The following is a 12,001-nucleotide window of genomic DNA, read 5'->3' on the forward strand; positions in this document are numbered from 1 at the left end:
CTTGGAAAAATATTGTTCCAACTCATTCACTGAGTAATTCAGAATGCTGCCAGCTTTGAATGGGACACAGATCAAGAGTGGACTCTGCTTCAAGTCTAGGCTACAGTGCAAGCTCACTTGCCACGACCCAGCAGATCCAATGATGCTGATGTATCTGTTGGGTAAGGATACTGCCTATGAAGATTCTGGTAAACCCTAAGAGGGGAGTATCATATAGACCATGCCCACTGTGGTAGAGAAGTGCTAACTTTTTGAGGAACAACTCCAGAAATGCTCCTGGGCCCCAGGAGAGACTTAGAAATCAAAGACCTAAAAGAAACAAAACTTGCAATCACAGAAAGGGAAATCTAGGGAAGAGGCCAGGAGTGCACATAAAGCATGTGATTTTTGTGTCCCCTGTTAATACTCACTGAAGAATATCTACCTCTGTGGAGACACTTAATAACCAAGTGGACAGGATGACTTGTCCTATGGATGTCAAGCAGCCTGTCTTCCCAGCTACCTCAGTGTTGGTCTATGAACAGAGTAGTCATAGCTGCAGGGGTGCAGGCTGTGGTAGGCAGCCTGTATGATGTCCATCAAGGATTCCTGTCTCCTGGCATTCCTGCCCTTGTGTAATCTCCTCTCCATATTAACTTAATTTTGATAAATAGAATATGGCTGAAGTGACAATTATCACTTCTGATATCAGGTTAGTAAAAGGGCTTCCATCATGGGTGCTATTTCTCATTTTTTCCTGGGTTGCTCATGCTGGGGGTAGCCAGTTGCTATGTCATGAAGCAGCCCTGTAAAGAGGCCCACATGATGAGGAACTAAGGCCTACCAACAACAACATGATTGAGCTTAGAAGAGAATCCCTCTGAGTTGAGTCTTCAGATGAGACCACAGCCCCACACTGCGTCTTGACTGCAGTCTCTTGAGATAACTTGAAGCAGAGGGACCCAGCTTAACGGTACCCAAACTCCTGACCCACAGAAACTATGAGATAATAAATATTTCTTGTTTTTAGCCAGTAACTTTTGAGGTAATTTGTTATGTGGCAATAGATAACTAATACAGGGATTATGAATGGGCTGTCTTCTATGAAGGCTGATCTAGCTACTGCTACTGCTGACCAGTGGTAGAGTCTACTGAAGCTGAGCATATGCATACTCTATGACCCAAAAATTCTCCAAGTATCCAGCACAAATGCTTACACATGTTTCCAAAAGACATATACAAGTATATTCATGGGAGCACTATTTATAACGGCCAGAAACTGGAACTAATACAACTCTGTGGCTTCCCCTTTCACTCTCTGATTAGTGTGTTTGATGAACAAAAGTTTTCTGTTTTAGATTTAGATTTTAGTAGTCTAGCTACTACATTTTTGTCTTTATAGTTAGTGCTTTTTGTATCCTATTTAAGAAATATTCATCTACAAGCAAAGATTATGAAGATATTATCCTATGTTTTATTTTAAAGAGATTTTTATTATTTTAACTTTCACATTTAGATCTACATTCCACCGCCGAGACTGCATCCGCCTTGCGAGCACAGAGCCTCGCCTTCGCTGCTCCACTGCCAGTCCACACCTGCCACCAGCTCACCATGGATGATGATATCACCGCGCTCGTCATTGACAACGGCTCCGGCATGTGCAAGGCCAGCTTCACGGGCGACAATGCCGCCCGGGCAGTCTTCCCCTCCATCGTTGGGCACCCCAGGCACCAGGGCGTGATGGTGGGCATGGGTCAGAAGGATTCCTATGTGGGCGACGAGGCCCAGAGCAAGAGAGGCATCCTCACCCTGAAGTACCCCATTGAGCACGGCATTGTCACCAACTGGGACGACATGGAGAAGATCTGGCACCACACCTTCTACAATGAGCTGCGCGTGGCTCCCGAGGAGCAACCCATGCTGCTGTTTGAGGCCCCCCTGAACCCCAGGGCCAACTGCAAGAAGATGACCCAGATCATATTTGAGACCTTCAACACCCCAGCCATGTACTTGGCCATCCAGACTATGCTGTCCCTGTACGCCTCTGGCCGTACCACTGGCATCGTGTTGGACTCCAGTGATGGGGTCACCCACACTGTGCCCATCTACGAGGGGTATGCCCTCCCCAACGCCATCCTGCTTCTGGACCTGGCTGGCCGGGACCTGACTACCTCATGAAGATCCTCACCGAGCGCCGCTACAGCTTCATCACCACGCGGAGCGGGAAATCATGCGTAACATCAAGGAGAAGCTGTGCTACCTCGTCCTGGACTTCGAGCAGGAGATGGCTACCGCGGCTTCCAGCTCCTCCCTGGAGAAGAGCTACCAGCTGCCCAACAGCCAGGTCATCACCATTGGCAACGAGTGGTTCTGCTGCCCCGAGGCGCTCTTCCAGCCTTCCTTCCTGGGCATGGAGTCCTGTGGCATCCACGAAACTACCTTCAACTCCATCATGAAGTGTGACTTGGACATCCGCAAAGACCTGTACACCAGCACAGTGCTGTCTGGTGGCACCACTATGTACCCTGGCATTGCTGACAGGATGCAGAAGGAGATTACCGCCCTGGCGCCCAGCAGGACGAAGATCAAGATCATTGCTCCTCCTGAGCGCAAGTACTCTGTGTGGATTGGAGGCTCCATCCTGGCCTCGCTGTCCACCTTCCAGCAGATGTGGATCAGCAAGCAGGAGTATGAGGAGTCTGGCCCTCCATCGTTCACCGCAAATGCTTCTAGGCGGACTGTGACTTAGTTGTGTTACACCTTTTCTTGACAAAACCTAACTTGTGCAGGAAACAAGATAAGATTGGCATGGCTTTATTTGTTTTTTTGTTTTGTTTTGTTTTTTTGGTTTTTTTTGGCTTGACTCAGGATTTAAAAACTGGAACAGTGAAGGTGACAGCAGTCGGTTGGAGCGAGCATCCCCCAAAGTTCTACAGTGTGGCCGAGGACTTTGATTGTACATTGTTCTTTTTTTTAATAGTCATTCCAAATATCATGGGATGCATTGTTACAGGAAGTCCCTTGCCATCCTAAAAGCCACCCCACTTCTGTCTAAGGAGAATGGCCCAGTCGTCTACCGAGTCCACACAGGGGAGGTGATAGCATTGCTTTCGTGTAAATTATGGAATGCAAAATTTTTTTAATCTTCGCCTTAATACTTTCTTATTTTTTTTATTTTGAATGATGAGCCTTCGTGCCCCCCCCCCCTTTTTTGTCCCCCAGCTTGAGATGTATGAAGGCTTTTGGTGTCCCTGGGAGTGGGTGAAGGCAGCCAGGGCTTACCTGTGCACTGACTTGAGACCAGTTGAATAAAAGTGCACACACACACACATAAAAAGATCTACATTCCATCCAGAATTCATGTTTGTGTATGGTATGGGGTAGAAGTTAATATTAAATATTTTTCTGGCCCAGTGCAGTGGCTCATGCCTGTAATCTCAGCAGTCAGATGGCTTGAGTCCAGGAGTTTGAGACCAGCCTGGGCAACATGGCAAAACCCCTTCTCTATAAAAAAGTACAAAAATTAGCTGGGCATGGTGGTACACGCGTATAGTCACAGCTACTCAGGAGGCTGAGGTGGGAGGATCACTTGAGCCCAGGAGGTGGAGGCCGCAGTGAGCTGAGATTACCCCACTGCACTGTAGCTTGGGCAACAGAGTGAGACCCTGTCTCAAAAAATAAATAATATTTTTTCCCATATGGGCTTACCATTTTTAAAGCCTTCCTTATTCTGTGCTTTCTACCCTAGTTATTTATTTATTTATTTATTATTTTTGAGATGGAGTTTCACTCTTGTTGCCCAGGCTGGAGTGCAATGATGCAATCTTGGCTCACTGCAACCTCCGTCTCCCCACTTCAGGAGATTCTCCTGCCTCAGCCTCCCAAGTAGCTGGGATTACAGGCATGTGTCACCACACCTGGCTAATTTTGTATTTTTAGTAGAGATGAGGTTTCTCCATGTTGGTCAGGCTGGTCTCAAACTCCCAAACTCAGGTGATCTGCCTGCCTCTGCCTCCCAAAGTACTGGGATTACAGGTGTGAGCCACCACACCCGGCCTCTACCCTATTTATAAGTTGTTATTGGCACCTATGGCAGAGTGTATTAACTGGCTCATCCAATAGCCATTCCCAATACTCTTCTTCCTTGCTTCCATTGCAGGGCCAACTTCCTCAACTTTCCGTAGCTAGAGGTATCCAGGTGCATAATTCTGGGCAATTGGGCATAAGTGGAAATAAGTGGGTGGCTGCTGGAAATGCGTTGAATTTGTTGATGAAAGGGACGAATACCAGGAGGAGCTGCCTCTGTCCCACTTCTTCCATGAAAATAGATGGAAAAACTGGAGCTTAAAAATCCATCTTTCATTTATGACAGGAAGACCAAAATTTTAGAGATGCCCGTCCTCACATCATTGAGCTGTTGAACCAAAACTTGCAACTGCCTATCTCTAATCACCTTATGGGAGAAAAACAAATCTTATTTATTTAAGCTACTGATTGTGAGATTTCCGTTACTTGCAACCAAAGGGATTTTCTACGTAATACAGAATCCATTAGAGCTCCATGTGTATGTCTCTTCTTTGGAGGAAAAATACCTTTGAAAACAAAAATACCTCCAATTGTGACTTTTTGTAATGTGCCATGTCCTTATTGTACGTGTGTATGTATTAAATACACAACTTAAATGGCTACAGGTCACAAAGTATGGATGTTGGAGAGCTGCACATTTTAAACAATAGGAATTATACATCGGCAACAAGAGAATATAATCTTTTTGTCAGTGACTTACAGAGGGCCTTATTTACAGCTGAACAGGTATTTGATATAACAATTCATTGTTCTGACACATGTAGCAATCATTATGTGCAGTTTTTAATGCATCATGTTATATTAGCTCAGCCCATGCTCTAACACCGTGTAACATAAATTTTGCCAAAAGAAATGACATTACATGACACTGACTTTTAAAAGACACACACTATTTTTTCAGATCACATATCCTTTATCCATGAGTGCCCAATTCAAAAATCAAGCTGGCAGACAAAACTGGAGTGAATGTATAGCCTCAAAGCAGCATATTTATCTTGAGTAGTTTTGCACATGTCTACCTGTAGTCAATGATTCCATTCCATTTTTATGTTGAAATACATGAGCAACATTAATGACCCTTTTTTTGTCACCTAAAATGAGATTTTCATTCAGGGTCAATCAGGAGAGACTTGAAAGGTGTTTTTGGATGGCACGTTATGGATAAAATCTTTTTACATGTTTATCATGTACTATTTACGGCTGTTCTATTTGAAACTCTCACCAAAATTTTTATGATTATTTTATTTTTATTCTATCTATGACTTTTTACTGCTTCCAAGACGATATATGTCTCTTAGGTGTGAAATAATTTCAATTTTTAATTACATATTCTTTTTTGTATTAATAGGAAATGCAACAAAAAAGATGAGGATTTTTGGACAACATATTTCTAGATTACCCAAAAAAAACTTTAAGTGCTGGTTCACAAAAATCCATTGATATAAATTTTAAATGTTAATTATTCACTTTTTTAAAAAAAATAATTATCTCCCAACACTTTTCTGTTATGGAAAACTACTTAAGACCCACATAATTTTTCTTGGCTTAGAAACGTAAAGTAAATAAAATAAGAATAATAAGCAATCTTCTGTGAAAGCTTATTAGGATTCTGCAGAATAGTTTGCCAAAGGGAAGGAAGTCTTTGTAAAATGGCTTTTCTTCTAATATTTTAAGGTAATATAAAGTTATTACTTCTTAATTGAGGACAGAAATTTCATTTCAACTTGCACAACTTCCAATTCCAATATTACTATCCTAATATTTAATTATTGTATTGTTATTATCATTATTACTGTAATTATTTCTCGTTCTTTATTACCATATTCTTTGTACATGTATGTGTGCGTGTGATCACCACTTAATCATATAAGTGAGATTTTAAGAATTCTTGTAATGTACAGGTTATACACTTCCAAATGATTTAGAAACTTTAGAACTGATTAAAGTAGACAAAACTAGATAAAAATTCTCATTGGATTTTTAGCTACATTAAGAAATCAGAGTGGCCAGGCGCAGTGGCTCACACCTGTAATCTCAGTACTTTGGGAAGTCAAGGCAGGTGGATCACCTAAGCTCAGAAGTTCAAGACCACCCTGGCAAGATGGAGAAACCCCGTCTCTACAAAAAATACAAAAATTAGCCAGGCGTGAAGGTGTGCACCTGTAGTTCCAGCTACTTGAAGGGCTGAGGTAGGAGGATGGCTTGGGCCCAGGAGGTCAAGGCTGCAGTGAGCCATGTTTGCACTAGTGCACTCCATTCTGGGTGACAAAGCAAGACTCTGTCTCAAAAAAAAGAGAAAAAAATCAGAGTAATAGAATTGAATAAAGATATTGATTGAGTTCAGTACAACAACTGGGAATCTATTTGACACCAAGTTACTAGGAATTAATGGCTTTTTTTTTTCTTTTAAGAGACAGAATCTCTGTCTGACACCCAGGCTGGAGTGCAGTGGCATGAGCATAGCTCACTGCAGCCTTGAATTCCTAGGCTCAATCACTCCTTCCACCTCAGCCTCCTGAGTAGCTAAGACTACAGGCTCATGCAACCACACCCAGCTAATTTAAAAAATAACATTTTATATGTAGAGATGGGATCTCACTATGTTGTCCAGGCTGGTTTCAAACTCCTGGCCTCAAGTGATCCTCCTGCTTCAGCCTCCCTAAGTGCTGGTACTACAGGCATGAGCCAGTGTATCTGACCTTTATTCCCATTTTCTTTATTCAATTGTTTTGGTGTTTGTGCTTTGGTATTCAGCCAGGCCATGACTCTCCTGAAATGATTAAAAGCAGGTATTTGGGACCCAGATAGAATATCTTCTACACAGAGTTGTGGTGGTTGTGTATATGCAATGTACATAAAGGATTTAGCACAATACCTGGCTCATTAAAAATACCCAATAAATTATAACTATTATTATTATTATCATCTTTACTCAAGTAGTCAAAGAAAAAAATTGTTTATCCAAAATTGATGCCCTTTAATAAAATTATATTGTGATGCAAATTTTTTTCCAGGGAATTACCAAATGATTCTAATACAAGCCACTGCTTATCCGTATATCAGGGTTATAGAGATATGAATATTACTAGGTTGATCTTCTATTACAAACAGTAAAGGAAAGGAATCCTCACATTTTTGATTTATTGGCAATTTCCCATAGTAATAGATTCTTCAAATGAATACATTTAAAATATTCTGTGTAAATCATGTGTTTGTGCCTATCAGGTTTAAATGCTAGCTGTGTAACTTTGGAAAAGGTATTAACTTTTCATTTTTCATCTGGAAGACTAGTGGTATGCTAATATGAATAATTTCTATCATGTAGTATTTTATAAATGATAGTCATCATTATTTTCAAATAAGGAAGAATCTATATAAGTAAGCCTTCACCACTCTGAAGGGCACATTGTATATTAAAAAATATTTATAACAATATTTAAAATAGTGCCTCAATGCAGCCTATATTTTTCTTTTAGCACAGGCAAAAATTCAGATAGGAAAATTCCTAAGAGGTAAAATGCTAAGAGTTTCTCATAAAGAAGGAAAACAAAGATGAAAATCAATAAAATTACAGAAAAGGGCTTATCAGCATGTGCAGTTTTTTATTTAGAAAATGGAAATTAGTCTTCACCAAATCACTGGAGAATAAACACTCAGAAAGCAATTTTACTTAACTTATATTAAATAATTTGTGGCTGCAAGTACAGGCTGATTCATAATTTAAGTCATACACACTGTTACACAAGGTGGAATTTTGTTTTCTTTGCTTTATAAAAGTTAACTTCCAGGCTGGACATGGTGGCTCCTGTAATCCCAGCACTTTGGGAGGCCAAAGCAGGAGGATTGCTTGAGCCCAGGAGTTTGAGACCAGCCTGGGCAAGATAGTTAGCCTTTGTTTCCACAAAAAAGAAAAAAGAAAAAAAAAAGTTAACTCCCACAACTAAAGATGAAAAAAATCAATGATTTACAAATGCCGCTTTGTAAATGGGTGGTGAGGTTTGGTTGACTATCACACAAATGAAGCAACTGTGTTTTAACTGTTCTAACAGGAAAAAAAATAGTGGAGAGAGCATTCAAGATAAATTGTCTCTCTAGAATATAATGTATTTCTCAGTTACAAAATGATAAGAGCCGGATGTCTGAATACTTTGTGAAACATTTAAAAGGAAGATTCAGAGTAACAAGACAAGGGGCAAGTTGCCAGTGGCAGTTGTAAATTGCTTAAGCTGGACACATTGTGTTCTTGAAACTTTCATTACCTCTGTTTTTCCTTTTGCAACCAGTTGGAAATGGATATAATGGCACAAAGACAGGAAAGGGTGAATAACAATGAAAATGAATTTAATACAGAGCTAGGAACTGACAGAGAATGAGAGAGCGGTAGTGAGTTGAGAAAGAAGAGAAATAAAGGTGAAAATAGATTTGGGGTTAAATAGGCCAAAAGGGTATGATCAAGGTGGGAAGACCTGAGGCAGTTAGGCAATGCCCTGAATTCTTTAAACTTTTCTGTACACTTGACCCTTGAACAGCTCATGGGTTAGGGGCACCACCTTCTCACAGTAAAAAATCCATGTATAAATTTGACTCGCTAAAAATAAGAGAGGGTCAATGGATATTTGGTAACAATTAGAAGTCTCTGCCACAGGTCTGCTTTGGGATGTAAGATATCACTGATTTCAATGCATTCAGTGTGGTGCACTGAAAGGGAGATATGTAGGTAGGTGGCAATTTGCATGTCTTGCATCAGCCTTTGCTAATCAACCCATTGCCTTGATTACTGTGGCTTTATAGTAAGCCTTGAAATGAGGTAGTCTGAACCCTTTGTTCTTTTTCAAAATAAATTCTTTTGGCTATTCTAATTTATTGGGCTTTACATGTAAATTTTAGAATCAGCCTGTTGATATCTACAAAAATTCCTGCTGGGATTTTGATTAGGATTGCATAAAATCTATAGATCGGTTTGGGGAGAATTGACATTATTAACAATGTTGAGTCTTACAATTCATGAACATAGTATATGTCTCCGTTTATTTGGGTCTGCTTTGACTTCTTTCATCCGTATTTTATATTTTTTAGCAACACATCCTGCACATATTTTGTTAGATTTATAGGTATTCCCTTTGTGTGTGTGTGCTATCATAAGCAACATTGTATTTAAATCTTTTATTTTGAGTTATTCATTGCCCATATATAAAAATTCAGTTGATTTTTATGTATTGGTCTGGTATTCTGTGATCTTGCCAAACTCATTTATTAGTTCTAGGAACTTTTTGGTAGATTCATTGAGATTTTCTACATAGATAATTGTGTCATCTGCAAATAGAGACAATTTATTTTCTCCTTTCTAATCTGTATGCCTTTTATTTCTTTTTCTTGCCTTATTATACTGGCTAGAACTCCCAATATAGTGTTGAATAAGAATAGTAATATTGGACATCTGTTTTTTATTTTAACATGCAGAAGTTATATTTTAACATTAAGATGCTAACCATAGATATTTTATAGGCACTTTCATCAGGCTAAGGAAATTCCTTTTTATTCCTAGACTTCTGAGAGTTTTTATCACAAATTTATGTTGAATTTTGTCAAATTCTTCTTCTGCATCTATTAAGATGATCAAGACATTTTCTACTTTGTTAATTTGGTGAATTACATTGATTCATTTTCAAATCATTGAATCTGCCTTACATTCCTGAAATAAACATTACTTGGCCATGATATAGTATCTTTTTTTATATTCCCAGATCTCATTACTATTACTATTATTTGACAGAGTCTCACTCCATCGCCCAGGCTGGAGTGCAGTGACACAATCTTGGCTCACTGCAACCTCCGTCTCCAGATTCAAGTGATTCTCATGCCTCAGTCTCCCAAGTAGTTAGGATTACAGGTGTATGCCACCCCACTGGGCTAATTTTTGTATTTTTAGTAGAGACCGGGTTTTACTATGTTGGTTAGGCTGGTCTTGAACTCCTGATCTCAGGTGATCTGCCTGCCTCGGCCTCCCAAAGTACTAGGATTACAGGTGTGAGCCACTGTACCCAGGCTTATTTTCTAATATGTTGTTGAGGGATATTGGTCTGTAGCTTTCTTTTCTTGTATTTTCTTTTCCTGCTTCTGGTATTGAGTTAATACTAGCTGAACAAAATAACTGTTCCCTCATCTTCTATTTTCTGAAAACAAACAAACAAACAAAGAAACAAAAAAGTTTAAATAGAATTACAAGTCAGGAGAAAATTTCCCACTTAAGTGTTTGGTAGACTTCACCAGTGTAACTATCTGGACCCAGAATTTTTTTGTTGGAAGATTTTAAACTGCAAATTCAATTTCTTTACTAGGTATAAGACAATTCAAGTTATCTGTTTCTTCTTGAGTGCATTTTGGTTGTTTGTGTCTTTCAAAGAATTTGCCCGTTTTATCTACTTCATTGAATTATGGTTAGTTTGTAGTATTCTCTTCTAATTTCTATAGGGTATTTAGTGCTAGCTCTTCTTCCTGATATTGGTAATTAGTGCCCTCTCTCTATTTCTCTCACCACCCTCACACTCCCGCCGTGTGTGTGTGTGTGTGTGTGTGTGTAAACTCTGTACCTTTTAAGCCTCTGGCAACCACTAGTGTACATTCTGCCTGTGTGGATTTACTTATTCTGGATGTTTCATATAAATGGAATCATACAGTATTTGATCTTTTGTGTCTGGCTTCTTTCACTATGCATAATGTTTACAAGGTTTATCCATGTTGTAACATGTGTCAGTACTTCTTTCTTGTGCCTGAATTGCATAGATACACACACACACACACACACACACACACACCCCCATGGATATATGTAGCCATTCAACTGCTTTACTAGGTATAAGACAATTCAAGTTATCTATTTCTTCTTGAAATTGAATGGATATACACATATCTATCCGTCACTGTCTCTGTCTCAATTTCTCTTTTTTTTTTTTTTAATTTATTTTTTTATTGATAATTCTTGGGTGTTTCTCACAGAGGGGGATTTGGCAGGGTCATGGGACAATAGTGGAGGGAAGGTCAGCAGATAAACAAGTGAACAAAGGTCTCTGGTTTTCCTAGGCAGAGGACCCTGCGGCCTTCCGCAGTGTTTGTGTCCCTGATTACTTGAGATTAGGGATTGGTGATGACTCTTAAGGAGCATGCTGCCTTCAAGCATCTGTTTAACAAAGCACATCTTGCACCGCCCTTAATCCATTTAACCCTGAGTGGACACAGCACATGTTTCAGAGAGCACAGGGTTGGGGGTAAGGTCACAGATCAACAGGATCCCAAGGCAGAAGAATTTTTCTTAGTGCAGAACAAAATGAAAAGTCTCCCATGTCTACTTCTTTCTACACAGACACGGCAACCATCCGATTTCTCAATCTTTTCCCCACCTTTCCCGCCTTTCTATTCCACAAAGCCGCCATTGTCATCCTGGCCCGTTCTCGATGAGCTGTTGGGCACACCTCCCAGACGGGGTGGTGGCCGGGCAGAGGGGCTCCTCACTTCCCAGTAGGGGCGGCCGGGCAGAGGCGCCCCTCACCTCCCGGACGGGGCGGCTGGCCGGGCAGGGGGGCTGACCCCCCCCCACCTCCCTCCCGGACGGGGCGGCTGGCCGGGCGGGGGGGCTGACCCCCCCCACCTCCCTCCCGGACGGGGCGGCTGGCCGGGCAGAGGGGCTCCTCACTTCCCAGTAGGGGCGGCCGGGCAGAGGCGCCCCTCACCTCCCAGACGGGGCGGCTGCTCAATTTCTCTTTTACTGATGTAAAATTCATGTAATATAAAATTAACCACTAATCACTTTAAAATATACAATTCAGTGGCATTTCATACATTCACAGTGTTGGGCAGTTGTTACCTCTATCTACTTCTGAAACATTTTCATCATACCAAAAGGAAACTCGGTACCTTTTAAATTTTGGCAACCAGTAGT

The 12,001-nt window shown here is 40.7% G+C and overlaps 1 pseudogene; it reads left to right on the plus strand.

Annotated features, from left to right (window-relative positions):
* On the plus strand, window positions 1,507–3,301 carry ACTBP2 (ACTB pseudogene 2; annotated as a pseudogene).

The sequence above is a fragment of the Homo sapiens genome, chromosome 5 (assembly GCF_000001405.40).
Source record: "Homo sapiens chromosome 5, GRCh38.p14 Primary Assembly".
NCBI lineage: Eukaryota > Metazoa > Chordata > Mammalia > Primates > Hominidae > Homo > Homo sapiens.